The sequence below is a fragment of the Homo sapiens genome, chromosome 22, assembly GCF_000001405.40.
Source record: "Homo sapiens chromosome 22, GRCh38.p14 Primary Assembly".
Taxonomy (NCBI): Eukaryota; Metazoa; Chordata; class Mammalia; order Primates; family Hominidae; genus Homo; species Homo sapiens.
The window spans coordinates 35,456,861-35,479,334 of record NC_000022.11 but is presented as its reverse complement, the minus strand read 5'-3'; the positions used below and the strand labels follow the sequence as shown (position 1 = coordinate 35,479,334).

At 51.4% G+C, this 22,474-nt stretch overlaps 1 annotated feature.

The window, feature by feature from the left end:
* Positions 233 to 410: a silencer, noted in NCBI's record as "fragment chr22:35874918-35875095 (GRCh37/hg19 assembly coordinates)". NCBI's record gives its function as "represses an EF-1alpha promoter that drives an FKBP-Casp9 reporter gene in an ReSE screen in HepG2 liver carcinoma cells {active_cell/tissue: HepG2}" and the evidence as "EXISTENCE:reporter gene assay evidence [ECO:0000049][PMID:32094911]".

Below are 22,474 nucleotides of genomic sequence, written 5' to 3'. Positions count from 1 at the left end.
CAGATCACCTGAGGTCAGGAGTTCGAGACTAGCCTGGCCAACATGGCGAAACCCCGTCTCTACTAAAAAATACAAAAACTAGCCAGGGCGTGGTAGCATGCACCTGTAATCCCAGCTACTCAGGAGGCTGAGGCAGGAGAATTGCTTGAACCCGGGAGGCGGAGGTTGCAGTGAGCCGAGATCGCACCACTGCACTCCAGCCGGGGTGACAGAGCAAGACTCCGTCTCAAAAAAAAAAAAAAAAACAAACAAACAAAAACAGAGACGCACACTGTCTCCCTGGGGACACACAGAGATTGAATCACAGAGACACAGCGTAAGTGTACACACAGTCACAGAAACACTGACATACTGAGGATCACAGAAGCACATGTGCGCACACACGCTGCACCCCACGATCCAGACCTCACCATCTTCTCTGCTCTCTTTCCTTCCTCTCCCCCTCCTTTCCCTCCGAACACGCTTATTGTGGCTGTTTTCCCAAAGTCCCCAGCCTGTCATTTGAAGGAGAGATGATGTTGGCAGCTGCTGCTGCTGCCAGCTAAAAGCCAAAACTTCTTGTTTCCAGCCTCTGATCTTGGTGTCCCAGCTCACCTGGGGAGCCAGCGGAGGCTGTGGGGTGGAGGCCTTAGCTCTGAGCCGCAAGCCTCCAACTGCAGCTGCCTTTTTCTACCCTCATTCACCCCCAGGATGTCCCAACTCAAGGGCAGCTGGGGGCTCTCGCCAAGGCCGTCTAGAGTGGGAAAGCCGGGGGTCTGCATGATCCCCACTATCAGAGCAGCTCAGCAAGACCCTCCCTCCAGAGCCCTCCAAGTTGTATAAAAGATCAATCCTCAGACTCCGACAACATCAGGGCCGCAAGGACCACTCCCAGCCATCTAATCCGGGTCCCTCCTGTTACAAATGGGGAGATGGAGGCTCAGAGAGGGGGTGAGATTTGTCCAGAGTCACACAGCAGAACCCAACTGGTGGCCAGGGCTCTAGACTCCCCACCTGGGCTTCTCCTCAGCCTCACTCTGAAGGTCGCAGCGTTGATGAAAGCCTGCCTGGGCACCAGCCTGCTGCTGACCCCATATCACTGCTCCTATAACCCCTTCTACACAGCCTCGCTGCAACTCCCAAGGCGGAGGCCGGCCAGCTCTTCTGTGACGGTCTCCAGAGTCAGAAACCTTCCCAGAGCCTGTCTTGGTGATTTATTTGCCCCTTCCTTCCTGTTTATTCAGCCCCTTGGCAAAAAGCCCAGAGGGAGAATTTATGAGAGGAGAAGGAGGGAAGTGGGGAGAGAAAGAGAGGTGGGGGGAGCAGGGGCGGGGCAGCTGGGGGAAGATGAGTATGGGCTGATAAAAGGAGGAAGAGAGTGGCTGTGTGCAGTGGCTAACACCTGTAATCCCAGCACTTTGGGAAGCTGAGGCGGGTGGATCACCTGAGGTCAGGAGTTCGAGACCAGCCTGACCAATGTGGTGAAACCCCGTCTCTACTAAAAATACAGAAATTGGCTGGCTTGGTGGTGGGTGCCTGTAATCCCAGCTACTCGGGAGGCTGAGGCAGGAGAATCACTTGAACCCAGGAGGCGGAGGTTGCGGTGAGCCAAGATCGCGTCACTGCACTCCAGCCTGGGTGACAGAGTGAGACTCCATCTCAAAAAAAAAAAAAAAAAAAGAGGGAGAGAGGAGGGAGAAGTTCAGGAAAGAACAACACAGCGTATGTTCGTGTGAGAGGAAGAGAAGACAAAACAGCACGTGAAGCCAGCGCTGGCTTTGGATGAGGGATCCGTTTGACATGGATCTACCTGCCAAGGGAAGATCCTCCTGGAGTATCCCTCAGCTGGGCTGCCAAGTGCTCCATGGGATGCCTGGAGTTGGAGAGGAGGTCCTGGGTGCCCAGGCCACTCCCAGGCAGATAGGCAGCTGGGGACACTGCACCAAGGAAGCTCCTGCCTTCCTCAAGATCCCAGTGTATTCCTTCCTTGGGCTGGTGTTCTCTGCCTCCTTCCAGGTATTCAGCAATGCTCTGGGAAGGACACAGGGTGCCTGATAGCGATTGACTGCAGCGGGGGCTCTAAAACGCTGGTTGGACACCAGGCAGGAAACAGCCAGGTCCTTGGGTTCTGACTGATTTGATGCATGGCCTTGAGCAAGATGCCCCCACTCTCTGGGCCTCAGTTTCCTCCTCTGTCCAGTGAGGGGATAGACTGGAGATAGCTAAGATGCCACCAGCTCTGACAGTCCAGGGGTTTGTGACTCTAAAGGTCATCAGCTAAATAGCATCACAGTGCAGTAGCCCCTCCTCCTGCCCAATCCCACTTCCATGCTCCGGGAATTGCAAAAGCACCCCAACATTTCATGTTCCCATGGTCTCCCCTGCTTCTGGGGGCCTGATGTCCAGGGCAGCACCAACCTCCAGCTGAAATCGGCTGCTTCTTCAAGGTTGACCTCCATCCACCCACAGAAAGCCTCATGAACACAGCAGCCTTAAGTGAAGTTTTCAAGGAGACGAAAATGGGGGGACAGGCATCTCTGTGCTCAAATGCCTTCCGATGTATGGGAGAAACGACATAATACCTAGGATAGAAATGAAGGGGGGAAGAGATGAAACCCAACTCCCCTGAGTCGATCATCATCGGACTCATGATGGGCACACGGAGGTTTATTATCCTGCTCTCGCTACCTTTGGGTATGTTTGGTAATTTCCATAATAAAACTCCAAATAACAACAAAAACTAAAAATGCGTCTTTCTGAGTCACCTATGGAATGCACAGTAGGGGAGACAAAGAAGCAACTCTTGCTCTGAAGAAACAATAATGTGATACGGTCGGTGCATTTTGAAATCTGAGGAGGCTTAGAAGAGCCTATTTCCTGGTGGTTTGCAGAGGCGGAAGCAGCGATCCAGTGGAAAACCAAATACACGGTTGCTTTCCACCCTGTTGACAAAATCATGCTTCATAGTCAAGTTAAGCTCCTTAGACCCATTCTCTAGTCTAAACTTACCCGCCCTACGCTAATGGTGCATCTTGACCAGTGTTCTTCGTCCTTTTGTTGTATACACAGCTTTTCTTTTCTTTTTTTTTTTTTTGAGACGGAATTTCACTCTTGTTGCCCAGGCTGGAGTACAATGGCGCACAATCTTGGCTCACTCCAACCTCTGCCTCCCGGGTTCAAGTGATTCTCCTGCCTGAACCTCCTGAGTAGCTGGGATTATAGACATGCACCACTACGCACAGGTAATTTTTGTATTTTTTGTAGAGACGGGGTTTCACCATGTTGGCCAGGCTGGTCTCGAACTCCTGAACTCTGGTGACCCGTCCGCCTTGGCCTCCCAAAGTGCTGGGATTACAGGCGTGAGCCACTGCACCTGGCCTCTTATTTTCAATTAAGTGTGTCCACAGAACTACTAACATAGTTTCTGAAAGGGCAAAAAAAAAAAAAGGGTAATTTTAGTCAAACAAATATTTTCATGAAGTTAAAAAAAAAAAAAGCGCACCAGTCCCCCAGTCTCCCCTCGGCTCCTGCTTCCTTTCCCCCGTCTTCTCCCCCAGTGCCTCCCCACCTGGCGCTATGCCCGGACTCTCCCCCTTGCCTTCTACACAGTGGTTTTGCCCCCTGCACAGCGGTTTCTCCCCCTTCCCTCATGCTTTGCAGCCCTTTCACACACCCAGGCCTATGACCCACACACTCGACAAGGACCCCACAAAGACTTCCCTCCCCAAGAAGAGCCGTGGGGCTACAGGATCGACACAGGCCCAGTGAGGCCAAAGTGTGGCTGGGAACAAAGGAGGCACGTCAAGGTGAGGTCCAGGCCATCTAAGCATCTATAGGGAAACATCTTGCCTTGTGGGACCAATTGCACTGGGAGCAATTTGAGGCCCAGGGCCCTCCCATGCCCAAAAGTTACCCCCAAAGTGGCTCTGCTGAGCCCACGCCTTGTTCTGCATCCTAATCCGGCACCAGAACTATATGGGAGCTAAGGACTGCCAAGGCTGGGTGCCTCATCCTGCAGAGGAGGAGTTCCCACCTAGAAAGGAAGACCCCTTGTTCAAGCTCACAGGGCAGGGTTTGTGGGGATTAGACACAAATCTGACCAGCCTCTCTCCTGCATAGAACCTTGTAGTAACTCCCACTGCCCATGGGACAAGGTCAGACGTCCTGACACACAGGCTGGCAGGACCTGCTCCTGCCACCCCATCCACCCACCTCCCACTGACCTTGCCAGCCTTGCACTGTCCCTTTTCCCCTCCGTCTTTATTCAGATGACTGTAACTCCCCCTTCTTGACTCTGCCCACGTCCTCTCTGGGCAGCGTTTCCTGACACTTGTCCACTAGCCCAAGTGGACTCCCGGGTTCCACTTGGGCAGAGCTGGGATTAAAAGTGAGACTCGGCCAGGCATAGTGGCTCATGCCTGTAATCCCAGCACTCTGGGAAGCCGAGGCAGATCACTTGAGATCAGGAGTTCGAGACCAGACTGACCAATATGGTGAAACCCCATCTCTACTAAAAATACAAAAATTAGCCAGGCATGGTGGCATGCACCTGTAGTCCCAGCTACTCGGGAGGCTGAGGCAGGAGAATTGCTTGAACCCAGGAGGCGGAGGTTGCAGTGAGCTAAGATCATGCCACCACACTCCAGTCTGGAAGACAGAGTGAGACTCTGTCTCAAAAAAAAAAAAAAAAAAATAATAATAATAATAATAATAATAAATAAAAGTGAGACTGTCCACCTCCAGAACCCACGGCCCCATCCGCTGAGCTCTGCCGCTCCAGCCAGGGAGGGAGAGCTGGCTGGAGACCCAGTTTCCTGATTCCCAAGCCCGTGCCTTCCCTCACTCCCCTGTGCTTCAGGGCAGAGGTGGGCTGCAGGTTGGATGGCGGCCACAGGGCCAGAGGAGGTTCTCCAGGAGCAGGCAGGGGTGGTCTTCCCGGTGCTCTTTGCAGAGTCCCCTAACACTCTGGTTCTTGAAAACCTCAAAGAGAAGGAAAGTCCAGAGTAGGGCTTGGGCCCGGTGGAAAGGAAGATTCTTCCCCTCCCTTCTCACCCAATACCTTTGCTTTCATGGAGCCCAGGCTGAGACCAAGTGAGGAAAGATACTTGCCCAGAGCTCCAAGGGCAGGACGGAGGCTCTGTCCCACCCTGGGTCTCAGTCCCCGCCCAGCCCTTCACTCACTCCCCTTGCCTCTGACCCATAAGGCTGACAACCCCCCTCCCCTCTCACCACCAGCCTGTCCAGGGCCCCCCTCAGCATCGCTGCTGGATGCCAGCAGGGAGAGGGCTGGAGAATGTTGTGGATCAGGACATGGACTCTGCAGCCAGCCCCAGGTCTGAAATCTGCCTTTGTCACCTATGACCTGTGTGATCTCAGGCAAGAAACATGACCTCTCTCTGCCTCTGTCTCCTTGTGTGGGAAATGGGATGATACAGTTCTGGCACATCATCAGAACACCAAACTGTTCATTGTGATCACCGGGCACCAGCACCAGCTCAGTTTTCATTCTCAGCTCAACTAGCTCATAACCTGAGTCTCTGTTTTCTCGGCTGCTAAATGGGCACAGTAACCATACTGCAAATAGCGCTGAACACGGGGACTACTGCAAATGGTACTAGACACTGGGTAGACCTTCTTAAGATGGTACTAGTGACAGGAATGCCCTTGCCCTCAGGATGCTTACAATCAAGCAAGGGCAACAGAAGAGTAACTGGCTTCTCCCTCTGCAGCCTAGTAGCTGCTTTCCTGGAGTCTCTGAGACAGTGGGGAGGAAGGCCACCAACCTGCTTGGCAGGCTTAGTAGGAACCACGTGAGCAAAGGTCTGGAAGAGAGAGGACATAACACAGTGAAAGAATAACGAAGGACATGCCTTTCTGGAGCATCTGCCCCCACAGGCCTCCTACCCTCTCCAGGTTTCTGCTAGGTGAGCTGGGAAGGACCAGAGGCAGCAGCTGTGGGTCACTGGGAGAATAAAGAAGAGGCTCATGTCCTCGTCATCTCCAAGGAGAGGCCATTAAGGAGATACTCTTGGGTAAGCAGGAGGCAAAACACACACACACACACACACACACACACACACACACACACAGAGAGAGAGAGAGAGAGAGAAAATGTAAAAGTGGGCCATGAATCTGGAGGTCTGGGACTAGCTGCTGTGTGAGCGTGGACAAGTCACCTGACCTGTCTGGATCTTGGCTTCATCTCTGTCCTGTGTGTGGTTTATGGGGAGCTGATCCATCTGCACATGTCCAGCCGGCCTGGGAGACCTCACCTTGTGGTCTGGGGCAGTTGTCCTAGGTCTCGGCAGACGTCACTTCCCAGATTTTTCCCTGTCCCCTGGGATTTGCTGCATGGGAATGCCAAGCCCTACTTCTTCAAAGCCACCGGGTCTTCCACACTGCCTGATGTTCGCCCATCCCCATCACCCAGCACCATCCTCCAGCTCGAGCAGAGGCTGGCAGGGCCCTACCCGCAGCCCCACTAGTTGGAGCGAGAACTGAAGGTGGCGGCACTCCCACTATGCACCAGGTTATTGGCAGGTATTAACTCCTTCAATCACCCCATGAGGTCACTGTTCATGTTTCCATTTTACAAATAAGGAAACAGGTTCAGAGAGGTTAAGTCACTGGCTCAAGGACACCCAGTCGGTATGTGGCTGAGCAAGCATTCCTGTTTCTGCTAAGTCAGCTGCTTGTCCTGTGCTGTGACACTCTGGGTACCAGAAGCTCACCAGGCTCCTGACCCTGCAGCTCTGAGCTGGGGAGCGAGGAGAAGGCTTGAGGCCAAGAGCATGGAGACTGTCCCAGCAGAGGCTAATGCCATGAGCATGAGCCTTACCTCCAGAAATGCCCTTCCTCCCGGTTCTTCTGAGAACCACCTCTGTAACTGCCCATTCATAGAGGAAAGAGCAAAAAACCGAGCACCCACCATTTGTCAGCTCTGTTCTGAGCACAACCTTGATGACCAACATGCATCCCTGCCTTCATGGGGATCACGGTCCAGGGTAGGAGACAAAGAAACTCAGGTCAGGAGTGCATGGAGTGTTATAGAAGAGGGGCATGGGGACTGTGGGAGCCAGAAAAGGAGTTCCTAGGCCAATCCAGAAATCAGGGAAAGCTTCCTGGAGGAAGAAATACATGTACAAATGGCTCCTCAGTGGGCTCGGACCAAGGAAGGTCTGCTTTGTTCCTTGTTATCTACCCAGGACTGAGGACAATGCCTGACAAAAGTGAACTCTCAGGAAAGAATGGCTGAAATGATTTGCTTAATTTGAAGTGATACAGTTTGGCTGTGTCCCCACCCAAATCTCATCTTGAATTGTAACTCCCACAATTCCTACGTTTAGTGGGAGGAACCTGGTGAGAGGTAATTGAATCATGGGGGTGGGTCTTTCCCATGCTGTTCTCCTGATAGTGAGTAAGTCTCACGAGATCTGATGGTTTTAAGAACGGGAGTTCCCCTGCACAAACTCTCTCTTTGCCTACTACCATCCATGTAAGATGTGACTTGCTCCTCCTTGCCTTCTGGCATGATTGTGAGGCGTCCCCAGCCATGTGGAACTGTAAGTCCATTAAACTTCTTTATTTTGTAAATTGCCCAGTCTCAGGTATGTATTTATCAGCAGTGTGAGAACAGACTAATACAGGAAGCTCCATGACAAATGACTGATGCCTTTAAGAATGTCAGGAAAATGTCTGGGATATTCGGGAACTGAGAAGGCAGTGGGGGTGGGGGTGTGTGGGTGAGCTCTGTCTTCAAAACCTGCAGGCACCACCAGCAAGAGAAAACCCACTGGACCTGGGGGACCCCAAGGGGCAAAGCCAGGACTGGTGGGAAGAGGCATATTTGGCTCCATCTCTAAGCAAGAGCATTTCAACAATCCAGCAGTTAGAAAGGCCGGGAGCTGTCTGTGAAGTTCTGAGTCCTCCGTTAGAGGGGTTTGAGCTGAGGCTGGATGGCTATCTATTAAGGATGCTGGAAAAATAAATAGATCAAAGGTCTTGGTGGGAGGCGGAGTCCGCTGAGTTTTCCAGGTCTCGTCTGTGGCTGAGTCTGAGATGTGCCTGCCCAACGGGCGACTCACTTTGTCCCCGCTAGCAGAACTCCCATTCAGGGTAGAACATCATGGCGCCCACTACAGGAGCTGAAAAGGATTGTTCTAAGCCTTTATGACTGTCCTCCTTTGTCAAAGCCTTCCCAGCCTGCTCTGCAACAGCAGCAGTCATGTGACCCAGTTCTGGCCAATGGTGTGTCTGTTGAGCAACTTCTAGAAAAGATCTTGTGTCCTCCCCACACAAGGGAGGCTGTCACCTAACCACTGTGGGGCAGCCCTTTCATCTTCCTTATGGGGATGAGGGTGAGAGTATAGGATGCCTGGCAGCCACCTTGAGACCATGAGGCAACAAACCGTAAGCTGAAAAGCACACACTCAGGACAGCAAAGGAGTGAAGTTTGGGGCAGCAAAGCTTAGCAATTCTGAGATACACCATCTTTTGATATTTGACATCTTTGAAATCAAGATGTATCTTATGATCATCATTAGGTGTTAGGGTGTACTTGGCTATTTTTTTTTAATCAATAGAGACATGGCATAGTTTAGGGATTTGTGCAATACCATGTAAATAATACATAGTGTAACCAAGAGCCCGACCAGACCTTTTCCAACTCAGCATGTGAGACATGGTCTGAGGGAAGGAAGGGAGATGAGCTCAAACATACTGAGCACCTACTATGTGCTCAGGCACTTCACAGGTGCCACCTCTCCCAATGTTCACACGCCCTGCACTTGCCCAGAGTCACTCACCCAGGAAGTGGCAGAAACAGGATGAAACGTAGATTTATTTGACTCTGAAGCTAAGGCTCCCACAGTTTGTTTGTCTCTGTCCTTGGGGCTGTGTCCTCTTCCAGTTCCGCAGCCGAGGGGCTGAGTGCAGGAGTTGTTGCCTCCTCCCCAGGCACCAGTGTCCAGATGGTTTGCAAACTGCTTGCCCCTCCGTCTCTCCTCTTCATCCTGGGGCCATGAGGAGCTGCCACAGGGCTTTTAAGAAGGGACTGACGGCTGGGCACGGTGGGTCACACCTGTAATCCCAGCATTTTGGGAGACCGAGGTGGGTGGATCACGATGTCAGGAGTTCGAGACCAGCCTGGCCAATATGGCGAAACCTCGTCTCTACTGAAAATACAAAAATTAGCTGGGTGTGGTGGCACGTGCCTGTAGTCCCAGCTACTCGGGAGGCTGAGGCAGAAGAATCGCTTGAACCCGGGAGGCGGAGGTTGCAGTGAGCCGAGATCATGCCACTGCACTCCAGCCTGGGCAAGACTCTGTCTCAAAAAAAAAAAAAAAAAAAGGAGAATGACATGGCACTAGTGACTTATTTCTCTGGGTTAAGCATGGCCCTCTCCAGCTCTCTTGCTTAAAAGACAAGGTGCTGATGCAGGGAAGTCTAACAACCCTACCCTCAGGCACAAGCATGTATCTTGTTGGGCTCCTCGAGTAGAGGAAGGATGAGGGACATGTCCCAGGGAAGGCCCCCAGGTCAGCCTCACTGGCTTCTCCAGGAGGTCAAGGGCTGGCAGAGGCCCTGCCCATCCCTCTGCCTTTACACTGACCTCCCCGCTCTGTCTTCTGCTGCTGTCACCCATGCCTTGGGCAGACCACACAGCCAGCCTGGCTACCCTGAGTCCATTCCCCTGACTTCACCTGAACAGCGGACAGCAGGAGTTGAACCTCTGAGCCTTGGATTCAGGACCGTCTGGGTTCAACTTCTGTCTCCCCCAGCTGTAGACAGGTGACCCTGGGGAGTTATTTATTCTCTCTAAACCTCAGTTTGTTTATCTGTAAAATGTGGGTAATGACACTTTACTATACAGACTTCTCGAGAGAATCAAATAAGACAAAAATATAATTGACAGAGCACCATGCTAGAGCAGAAAACTCTATAAACATCACTCTTATTTCTATTGTTGAAATTGTCCAGCAATGGTATCTGTGGAACATAAGGCTCAGAGAGGGGACATGAATTGCCCAGCACCATACAGCCAGTTGATGGCACAGCTGGAATCAGAATGTGAGTTTTTTTTCCCACTTAATAATAATAACAATAAAAATAACATTAATGGGGGCCATGTGCGGTGGCTCATGCCTGTAATCCCAGCACTTTGGGAGGCCAAGGTGGGTGGATCACCTGAGGTCAGGAGTTTGAGACCAGCCTGGCCAACATGGTGAAATCCCATCTCTACTAAAAATACAAAAATTAGCCCAGCATGATGGCGGGTGCCTGTAATCCCAGCTACTCGGGAGGCTGAGTCTGGAGAACTGCTTGAGTCTGAGAGGCAGAGGTTGCAGTGAGCCAAGATTGCGCCACTGCACTCCAGCCTGGGCGACAAAGCCAAACTCTGTCTCAAAAACAAAACAAAACAAATCATGCTGGGCGTGGTGGCTCACGCTTGTAATCCCAGCACTCTGGGAAACTGAGGTGGGTGGAGCATGAGGTCAGGAGATGGAGACCATCCTGGCTAACATGGTGAAACTCCATCTCTACTAAAAATACAAAAAATTAGCCGGGCATGGTGGCAGGCACCTGTAATTCCAGCTACTCGGGAGGCTGAGGCAGGAGAATAGCTTGAACCTGGAAGGCAGAGGTTGCAGTGAGCCAAGATTGTGCCACTGCACTCTAGCCTGGGTGACAAAGTGAGACTGTGTCTCAAAAAAAAAAAAAAAAAAAAAAAACACCACACACACACAAACAAAAACAAAACAACCGAAACAAAATAACATTAATGCCAGCTAACACTTACCAAGGGACATTCTACGTGTTTTAAGTGTGTTTTTTCATTTAATCCTTACGACTCTCTGAGATAGGTATTAGTCTTATTATAGCCATTTCATATATGAGAAAACTGAGGCACACTAAATAATTTTCCCAAAGCCACAGAGCCTCAGTGGTAAGCCCAGGATTTGAACCCAGGGAGTTCTGGCCCCAGAGTCCAGCAAGTGCTTGTTGCACATGCAACCAATTCACTAGTACATTTCCCCTGAAGACGCAAAGATGACTCTGGCAGTGTTCAGGCTCCAGACAGTGGTCTCAGACCAACCTAGCAGAGCTCATCAAAGCACACTGTGATGAGGAGGTGTCTTATCATCTCCTGCCTTCCTCATGAAAAAAAAAAAAAATGGAGTTCGCTGGGCCGTTCCAGGGCCCAGTGTCAGGCAGGACACTGGTTTCCTGAGCCTGGCATTGTGGCCCAGCACCCCAGGGCCATGCCTGGCTCTGCAGTTTCGTTTGGTGCCTACATGGAAGCTGGCCCAGGCCATGGCTCCTGTGAAAGCTGCAGGCCCGGGCATTCCCCGCAGGCAGCTGGAGAGCTGGCTGTCCAAGACAAAGGCAGCCTCTAAAGGTCAGAAGCTGCTCTGGGGCCTGGGATCTTTGCTTCCTGCTCCCAGCACAGCCTGTCCTCAGCCTGCAGGCTCCTCCTCCCAGTGCTCTCAGCCAGAAGGAAGGAGCAGGCAGATGGCACAGCCCCAGCCCTGCCTACAGCCCCCAGACGCGGAGCCCGACCCTGCCCTCCTTCTGCCAGGGGAAGGAAGTCCACTTCTTAAGCCTGGCATCCAGGGATGCTGAGGGGCTGAGATTAGAGAATTTCGGGGGGGTGATGGAACTGCTCCGTGTCTTGATTGTGGCAGTGTTTGCGTGACTTTGTTTTTCAAAACTTGTAAAACTGTGCACTGAAAAGAGGCAAATCACACCTCAAAAAAACCTAAAAGTCATATTTATAAATATAAATAAGCATAAGACTTGAAAAAAAGGAGATGGGGAAACTCTCCAGGACGTTGTTCTGGGCGGATTTCTTGAAAAATACCTCACAAGCACAGGCAACCAAAGCAAAAATGGACAAATGGGATCCCATCAAGTTAAAAAGCTTCTGCACAGCAAAGGAAACAATCAGCAAGGCGAAGAGACAGCCCACAGAAGGGGAGAAAATATTTGCAAACTATACATCTGACAAGGGATTAATAATCGAATAGATAAGGAACTCAAACAACCCTATAGGAAAAATCCTAATAACCCAGTTTTAAAATGGGCAAAAGGCTGGGCACAGTGGCTCACGCCTGTAATCCTAGCACTTTGGGAGGCCAAGGCGGGCAGAACACAAGGGCAGGAGATAGAGGCCACCCTGGCCAACACGGTGAAACCCTGTCTCTCCTAAAAATACAAAAATTAGCTGGGCATGGTGGCGCACGCCTGTAATCCCAGCTACTTGGGAGGCTGAGGCAGGAGAGTCGCTTGAACCAGGGAGTTGGAGGTTGCAGTGAGCCGAGATCGTGCCACTGCACTCCAGCCTGGCGACAGAGGGAGACTCCGTCTCAAAAAAAAAAAAAAAAAAAAAGAATGAAATCCTGTCATTTGCAACAACATGGATGAAACTGGAGGTCATTATGTTAAGTGAAGCAAGCCGGGCACAGAAAGACGAACTTCACATGTTCTCACTTATTTGTGGGAGCTAAAAATTAAAACAATTGAACCATGGAGATAGAGAGTAGAATGATGGTTATACGCTGGGAAGGGTAGTTGGGGGGCAGGGGAAAGTAGGGATGGTTAATGGGTCCAAAAATATAGTAGAAAGAATGAATAAGGCCAGGCATGGTGGCTCACACCTATAATAGCAACACTTTGGGAGGCTGAGGCAGGAGGAATTTGTGAACCCAGGAGTTCAACACCAGCCTGGGAAACATAGTAAGACCCTGTCTCTGTAAAAAATAAACAAAATTAGCCGGACATGGTGGTGCACACCTATAGTCCCAGCTACTTGGGAGGCTGAAGTGGGAGGATTGCTTGGGCCCAGGAGGTCAAGGCTGCAGTGAGCCATGATCACAGCACTGTACTCCAGCCTACGTGACAGAACAAGACCCTGTCTCAGAAAAAAAGGAATGAATAAGATCTAGTATTTGATAGCACAGCAGGGTAATTATAGCCAATAATAATTTAATTGTACATTTCAAAATAACTAACAGTATAATTGGGTTGTTTGTAACACAAAGGATAAATGCTTGAGGTAATGGATATCTCATCTACCCAGTAAATATATACACCTACTATGTACCCATAAAAATTTTTTAATTTTTTTCAATAAATAATTTAAAAAGAAAGAGCGGCCAGATGGATGGCTCATGCCTGTAATCCCAGCACTTTGGGAAGCCGAGGCAGGAGGATCACTTGAGCCCAGAAGTTTGAGACCAGCCTGGGAAACATAGCAAGAACTTGTCCCTATAAAAATAAATATATTTTTAAATTAGCCAGGCATGACTTTGGGAGGCTGAGATGGATGGATCACTTGAGGTTGGGAGTTTGAGACCAGCCTGGCCAACACAGTGAAACCTCATCTCTACAAAAAATACAAAAATTAACCTGGCATGGTGGTGTGCGCCTGTAATCCTCAGCTACTTGGGAGGCTGAGGCAGAAGAATCACTTGAACCCGGGAGGTGGAGGTTGCAGTGAGCTGAGATCGCGCCACTGCACTCCAGCCTGGACATCAGAGCGAGACTCCATCTCAAAAACAAACAAACAAAAAAACTAGCCAGATGTGGTGGCACATGTCTGTAGGCCCAGCTACTGGAATCTGTAGTCCTAGGATCACTTGAGCCCAGGAGTTCAAGGTCGCAGTGAGCTACGATGGTCCCACTGCACTCTACCCTGGGCAACAGAGCAAGACCTTGTCTCAAATAAATAAATAAAAATAAAAGGAGAAAGACCTAACACACTGAGGAGGCCGAGAGGAGCCCTGGCCACCTCGGCACTCATAGGCCCAGAAGGTCAAACACCAGCCCTGGGCTCCTGGCCACAGCCCTGCAGTGCTACTCAGGACCGCAGGGAGGACACTGAACCATAGGAATTTGAACACCTGAAGCCAGTGTTCAAAGAGGCAGCAAGACCAGGCCCCAGAATGCACGGATGCTGGCCCCAGCCACGGCCCCTGTGAAAGCTGCAGGCCCTGGCATTCACCCCAGGCAGCTGGGGAGCAGGCTTCCCAGGACAGCCTGTCCACTGTCGATTGCCTCATCCAACCCAGCCACGCATCCAAATACTCCTAGGACCCAGTCCCTTTGCCCTGCAACCAGACATCCCTCTCATCTGCTTGGGACTCTCCACCTCACTGAGCCTTTGTCATGTGTGAGGTCCCAGCTGGGTTTCTTTTCATCCCAGATAAGAGGAAAGTGGGGTCTAGAAAGGCTGAGTACCTGCCCACAGTCCCCCAGCTGATACAGAAATAAGACCGAGGCCAAGCTCCTGACCGCCATTATCCCATTAATCTTCACATCAACCTTGACGGAAACACTGTGAGTGGTCTTATTTTATAGATGAGAAAAATGACACACAGAGAGGGTAAGTTGCCCAAAGTCACACGGTAGTAAAAGGCAGAGTTGGGACTCAAACCCAGGAGACTGGCTCCAGGATACCACTCTCAGCCACTATCCTCTTATCCCCCTGAAGAGGGCAAGCTGCCACTACCTCATGCCACTGCCTAAAGAGTGTGCTTGGAGACTTTTACTGTCCTTGGTGGTCCACTGTTACCCCAGGCACCATTCTGCTAATAGTTGAGTTGGCAGAGTGGAGTAGTTGAGGCAGTCCGTGGAAGAGTGTGACTCTCCAGTGTAACCCCAGCTACAAGGGCCTCGCTTGGTTTTGCCACAGCTGAGTGAGTTTAGGAAGTTACTTCACAGCCCTGTGCCTCCAGGGGCCACACCTGTTTAAGGGATGCTGGCAGCAGCCCTACCTCTAATTAGTCATAGGTATCCAGGGCACATAACTGCACCTGGTACAGGGCAAACCTCCCCCGCAGAAGTGTTAACCAGTGTTGTCCTCACTGGCATCATCATTACTGTGTGAGGGTGGGAACAAAATACAAAACAATATGGTCTCCCTACTGCCAGAATCCAAAATAATGATCACTCAACTTCCAGGTCTCAGCAATAGCTTCCTGCCACACATGGGGCAGCTGCTCTTGTCTTGTCAACTTGATCCCAACCAAGGGACAGGGCCTCACAGCTAGACCCTGGGCCTTGCCTTCTGCAATGACCATCAAGCATCTTTCTTGGAGCCCCTTCTTTGTCCTCTGTCTGTCCCTCTATTTCCTCTGCTGTTGAAAGGGTTGGGGCAGGAGAGCACTGGAAGATTTCAGACACTGCAGGTAGGGAAGGGGAGATGGTGAGACCAGCACCGAGATCTGGTCCCAGGGTGGACTTCCCCAAAGACAGCCAGACTTGCTGTTCTACCACTTGGTGTGCTAAAATAGAGTCTGTCTTCTTCTTGACCTAGAGCACTATTACAAAAGGCTACCTTCACCGGAGCAGGACACTGTCCTATAGCATTTTGTTTAAAGCAATTATTTAATTGTTGTCTTCCAGATGGATGAGAAGAGGGCCTGTGTTTCTCTTATTCATGGCTGTGCCTTCAGGGCCTGGCACACAGCAAAAGTGAGGATAGATGAATGGATGGATGGATGAGTAAGTAAGTAGATGAATGGGTGGATGAATGGATGGGTGGATGAGCAGATGAATGGATGGATGGATGGCTGGATGGATGAGTGGATGAATGGGTAGATGGATGGATGAGTGAATGGATGGGTGGATGGGTGGATGGATAGATAACTGAGTGGGCAAATGGATAGATGGGTGGATGGGTGGATGGATGGATGAATGGATGAGTGGATGAATGGGTAGATGGATGGATGAGTGAATGGATAGGTGGATGGGTGGGTGGATAGATAACTGAGTGGGAAAATGGATAGATAGGTGGATGGGTGGATGGATGGATGGATGGATGGTGGGTGGATGGGTGGGTAGATGGATGGATGGATGGATGGATAGTGGGTGGATGGGTGGGTAGATAGATGGATGAGTGGATGGGTGGATGGATGAATCATGGGTGGATGGGTGGGTAGATCGATGGATGGATGGTGGGTGGATGGATGGATGGATGGATGGTGGGTCGATGGGTGGGTAGATGGATGGATGGTGGGTGGATGGATGGATGGATGGATGGATAGGGTAAATGATGCCCTGGAAAGGCTGGGTCTGGGGCCTCAGGGGGACCACTTGCCTTCTCTCCACCTGCTGCTCAGAACTGCAGACTTGTGACATCACCTCTACAAATCCTCTGTTGGAGGCCTTGGTTCTTATGATCCGTGGGCTAGTCCCTGAGCCCCTCAAGCAGGGCCAGAGTGGCAAACTAAAAAACCAGATCTGACAAAGGATAAAGATAGAAGGAAGGAGAAACTGGGGGTAGGGGTTGGTGGTGGGGGCAGGACAGCCCAGAACAAAGGGCTGGGAAGGCAGAGAAAGTAGTAGGTGGAGGAGAAGGGAAGGAGGGCAGGAGAGGGAGGCAAAACAGAAGCTGAAGGCAGACAGGGGGACTTGATCAAAGGAGAGGCAAATAGGGCAATCACCCGCTCCCTGTGTCCCTCTCAGGACTTTAATGAGCCTGCGCGTGGGTAAGAGCTCCACTTGGCTGACTTTCAAAGCCCTTCCTCTCCATTAGCACATCTCAGTCTCACAACATCTTTGTGGGTCGGTTTTATTATTATCCTCCCACCAGCATGGCCCCGAGGAAGGAAGACGTCAGAAGCAGCTGGCCTGGGCTCAGATTCCAGGCCTCACTCCTGGCTGGGGGACCCTGGCAGTTGTGTGGCCCCTGAGTCTCATCTTCCTTGCCTGTGAAATGGGGGGTGACAATGATGCCGTCTGGCAGGAATGTCACGAGAAGCAAACAAGAGCATGTGAGAGGGTCTGGTACCCAGGCAGGGCTGCCCATCCTCTGTCCTCCCTTCTTCCTCACTGAGCTTGGGTGCAGGCAGATGTGTGTGTGCCTGCACATCCGAACTGCCAGGAGGCTTCGGCGTGGCCCAGTGCCTGGGCCTGCCCCCACAGACTCTGGTTCCATTGATGTGGAGTAGGGCCTTGATATCAGGACTTTGTAAAACTCCCCAGGAGATTCTCGTGTGCAGCCAGAATTGGGAGGCTCTGGTCTAAGTATGTACACGTGGGTAAGACAGGAACTCTACCAGGAGACCCAAAGAACTAGTCCCATGGACGGTCTCTGGGGAGAGCAGCCAGTGGCCAGGGCCCGAGGCGGGCAGTGTGGGAAGGAGGAAGATGTTTCTCTGGATACCCTTGGGCCTTGTGAATTGAATTTTGTTCCATCTGCACGTATGACCTATCCAAAGAGTAAATTTGAATGTTTATAATCAGAAGCAAATGGGGCCGGGTACAGTGGCTCATGCTTGTAATCCCAGTACTTTGGGAGGCCAAGGCGGGTGGATCACTTGAGGTCAAGAGTTCGAGACCAGCCTGGCCAACATGGCAAAACCCCATCTCTAGTAAAAAATACAAAAATTAGCCGAGTGTGGTGGCACATGCCTGTAGTCCCCAGTACTCGGGAGGCTGAGGCAGGAGAATCACTTGAATCCAGGAGGTGGAGGCTGCAGTGAGCCGAGATCTCACCACTGCACTCCAGCCTGGGTGATACAGCGAGACTCCATCTCAAAAAATAATAAGAATAAGAATAAGCAAATGGGATTAAATTCAGCTCAACTCACTCCCAAGATTGGCAGGAAGTCCTTGATAGAAGTATTTTCAGGCCAGGTGTGGTTGGCTGTTGCCTGTAATCCCAGCACTTTGGGAGGCCAAGGCGGGTGGATCTCTTGAGCCGAGGAGTTTGAGACCAGCCTGAGCAACATAACAAAACCCCGTCTCTACTAAAAATACAAAAATTAGCCGGCTGTGGTGGTGCATGCCTGTGATCCTAGCTGCATGGGAGGCTGAGGTGGGAGGATCGCCTGAGCCTGGGAGGTCAAGGCTGCAGTGAGTTGTGATGGCACCACCCACTCTCACCTGGGTGACAGAGTGAGACCCTGTCTCAAAAAAAAAAAAGAGAGAAAGAAAAGAAAAAGAAAGAGAGAGAGGGAAGCATTTTTAGTTCCTTCCTCTTGGGTCCACGGGTCTTACAAGAACCCCAAGGTTCCCTGGTCCCTGGGAAATGGAGGTGACACTGGCCTCAGCTGTTAGGGGCTGAATTGTGTCCTGCAAAATTTCATCTGTTGAAGACCTAGGCCCCAGTACCTGAAAATAGGACTTTATTTGGAAATGGGGTCTTTAAAGTGGTAATTAAAGTCAAATGAGGTCCTTAAGGTGGGCCCTAATCCCGTAAGCCTGGTGTCCTCCTAAGAAGAGATTAGGACACAGACACACACAGAGGGACAACCAAGTGAGGACACAGGGAGAAGACGACCACCTACAAGACAAAGGCAGAGGCCTCAGAAGAAACCAACTTCGCCAACACCTTGATCTCAGACTCCTACACTCCAGAATTGTGAGACAAGAAATTCTGTTGTCTAAGCCACCGCATCCGCCTAGGCTTTCAGACAACAGTGTCTTCAGAGCATCCACCCTGTGTGCCAATTTCTCCTTTTCAGCTCTTCAAAACACAAAGTCTTGGCTAATGCCCTTCCTTCCCCGAGCAGCTGTAGGGCTAGACACCACGTAAGGACGTTTCTCAGTCTTCTTGTCTTTCTTCCTCCTTCTTCCCGCCCTCCCTTCCTTCCTTCCTAACCTTCTGCAGCCTCAGGACCCTTGCAGTTGCAACCAACCTCATTTTTGCTTGTTTCTTTTCTTTTCTTTTTTCTTTTTTTTTTTTTGAGATAGAGTCTCACTCTGTTTTTGTTTTTGTTGTTGTTGTTTTTCGAGACAGAGTCTTGCTCTGTTGCCCAGGCTGGAGTGCAGTGGTACATTCTCAACTCACTGCAACTTCTGCCTCCCGAGTTCAAGCAATTCTCCTGCCTCAGCCTCCCAAGTAGCTGGGACTACAGATGTGCACCACCACACCTGGCTAATTTTTGTATTTTTAGTAGAGACAGGGTTTCACCATGTTGGCCAGGCTGGTCTCGAACTCCTGACCTCAGGTGATCCTCCCGCCTCAGCCTCCCACAATGCTGGGATTACAGGCATGAGCCACCGTCTCCAGCAGGCTCATTAACTTTTTTACATTTTTTTTTCCTGAGACAGAGTCATGCTCTGTTGCCCAGACTGGAGTGCAGTGGCATAATCTCGGCTCACTGCAGCCTCTGCCTCCAGGGTGCAAGGGATTCCCCTGCCTCAGCCTCTCAAGTAGCTGGGACTACAGGCACGCGCCACCATGCCCGACCCTGTCACCCAGGCTGCAGTACAGTGGTGCAATCTCGGCTCACTGTAACCTCTGCCTCCCGAGTTCAAGTGATTCTTGTGCCTTGGCCTCCCGCATAGCTGGGATTACATGCGTGCGACACCACACTCAGCTAATTTTTGTATTTTTAGTAGAAATGGAGTTTCACCATGTTGGCCAGGCTGATCTTGAACTCCTGACCTCAGGTGATCCACCCACCTCAGCCTCCCAAAGTGCGCAACTAACCTCAGTTTATTTTATTTCATTATTATTATTTTGAGACTGAGTCTCTCTGTCGCCCAGGCTAGAGTGCGGCGGCATGATCCCGGGAAGAAAATAGCGGCTGAACGATCCGGCACAATAGGATGGGCAGAGCCCACTGGAGTTCCCTTAGAGTGAGCAGGAGCATAAAGCCCAGTGGCCAGAGATCTTGGGCAGAGCCCGCTGCAGGAACACAGAGATCAAAAGGAAGATAAACAGAGGACAGAACTCAGACCCAGAGTCAGACAGCACTCTGCCCAGGTCTGCGGCCACCAGCTGCAGGAGCCTGAGCACCTTCCTTAACCTCTCAGAGCCTCTTTGCTCATCCATAAAATGAGGAATAAATTATTCCTCCCTCGCAGGCGGTGCGGTGAGGATGAAATGAGAGAGGAGTTTGAGGCATGTGGCTCTGTGCACAGTTTTGTATAGAATACCTCACTTAGCCTTCCTCCGAACCTCAGTTTCCCCATCTTCGAACTGGGGGTCGCCATATTCCCTCCTCAGAGGATTGGGGTTTGATTGGAGAAGCAATGCGCAAACCACTGGAACATTTAAGACACACACACCAGAGCACCGGCATTGGTGTTCCCCACCCACCGGGAGGCATATCCCACGGGCTCTGGGACTCAGAAAGGAAATTCTCTCAGGGCCTGCAGGCTGAGGCTGAGTCTAGAAGAGCATGAGTGGCCTGGGGAAGGAATCCATTATCTGCCCAGGGTGGCCAGTGCTCAGGTGCACCCTGCACCCCCATCTCTGCACCCCACCCACACTCAGTGACATGCTGGGCGGACGGAGCAGAGTGGAGACGTCAACCTGCCTGAACATGCCAAGTGCCCACGTGAGCAGGGGGTGCTGTTATGCAGCAAGAGCCTCTTGGTCTTCCCGTCTCTTCTTTCTCTCCAGATGTTTGACCCTCAGGGACTCCTGTCTCCTACCCGGCCTGAGGTCCCAGACGGTGTGATGTGGAGTGTGGACAGGCACTCAGCCTCAGGGGTGGTGCAGACCTGGGCGTGGGGCCTTGCCCTGTCCCTTCCTGGTGGTGTGACCCCACTGGGACTCCCTCTCCTCTTCTAGGGGCTCTACTGAGTGAGGAAGGATGCTCGTCTCTGTCTGCAGGAGGCCGGGAGAGACTCCAAGGGGACCTCTCACTAAGCAATCTGAGTATAATTGAATCCTATTTTCCGCACCCTGGGAGACTGACAGTCAATGGGAACCCAGCGAGGGCCTGCTGAGATAATGAACAAGGAAGTCCTTGGAAAACTGCAGTGTGCATGCAAATGGGCCCCTATGCCAGCCTCATTCACACAGATTTTTAAACTCCTGAAAGCCGGGGCAGTCATGCTTGCTTAAAGTGAAGTAGACCCATGCATTGGGGAAGATCCTTTCCCTTCCTGGGGGCTGGAGAGGGCGACAGTGACAGGCACCCATCAGGCTCCTGGAATGCTGCAAAATAATCTGAGCATCTTCTGTGGCCTGCCCCCGCCGGCACCTGCACCCCCATCTCTGCACCCCACCCACACTCAGTGACATGCTGGGCGGAAGGAGCAGAGTGGAGATGTCAACCTGCCTGAACATGCCAAGTGCCCACGTGAGCAGGGGGTGCTGTTATGCAGCAGGAAAAGGACAGGAGTGGATGCTTCTGCCCAGAAGGGGTTCTCTTCCTCGCTGCCTCCATTTCCAAAAAGACACTGAGGTTCAGAAACTGAAGCTCAGCAAGCCCCATATACACACACAGCTTGGAAGCAGCAGAACGGTGATTCCAGCCTGAGTCACCACAATGTCCTGGCTTTGTCCCATGACAGCATGAAGCCTCCAAGTCCTCCATTTGTCCCCTCCCTCTGTCCCCCACCTCTCCCTAATCCCAGTCCCCTCACCTAGGTGGCTCTCCTACCTCCAGGCTCCCTCCACTTGGCTCCAGCCTGGACCCATCTGTGGAGGTGCCTTTTCCACAAAAAGCTTGCTTTACGTTTCTGTCCTAACTTCGCTCAAGAACCTGCTATGACTCCCTATTACTTCTAAGAATCAAGCCTGAAATTCCTAGCCAGGCACAAAAGGCTTCTTGAGCATCTGGTTCCATCTCACCTATATAGTCCCACCTGTCCTTGCCCTGCTTACAGACCCTCCTCTCCAAGTGGGCTGATCTGTCAGCCCCTCCTCTAAGAAGCCTCCCCAGCTGCACAGACCCACAATAGTTTCATCTCCTCTGAAACATATATATAGTGGGGAGAATAATGGCTCCTCAAGAAGTTCATGTCCTAATCCCTGGAGCCTGTGGATATGTTAGGTTACACAGCAAAGAGAAATTCGGGTTGCAGAGGGAATTCAGGTTGCTAATCAGCTGGCTTTATTTTTATTTTATTTTATTTTATTTTTTGAGACAGAGTCTCACTCTGTTGCCCAGGCTGGAGTGCAGTGGTGCGATCTCGGCTCACTGCAAACTCCGCCTCCTGGGTTCACGCCATTCTCCTGCCTCAGCCTCCCCAGTAGCTGGGACTACAGGTGCCCGTCACCACGCCTGGCTAATTTTTTTTGTATTTTTAGTAGAGACAAGGTTTCACCACGCTGGCCAGGTTGGTCTCGATCTCCTGACCTCGTGATCTGCCCACCTCAGCCTCCCAAAGTGGTGGGATTACAGGCGTGAGCCACCGTGTCTGGCCTCAGCTGGCTTTAAAATAGGGAGGGTATCCTGGATTCCCCTGGACCCAGTGGAAGCACAAGGCCTTTTAAAAGTGGAAGAGGGAGGCAGACAGGTCAGAGTGACGTGATGTGAGAAGGATTTGACAGGCCATCGCTGGCTCTGAAGATGGCAGGCAGCCACAACTCAAGGAGCACGGGCAGCTGGAAAGACAAGAAAACGGATTCTCAGCTAGGCACGGTGGCTCATGCCTAGAATCCCAGCACTTTGGGAGGCCAAGGCAGGAGAATCGTTTGAGCTCAGAAGTTTGAGACCAGCCTGGGCAACACAGTGAGACCCCATCTCTACAAAAAATACAAAAATTAGCCTGGCGTGGTGGCACATGCCTGTGGGCCCAGCTACTG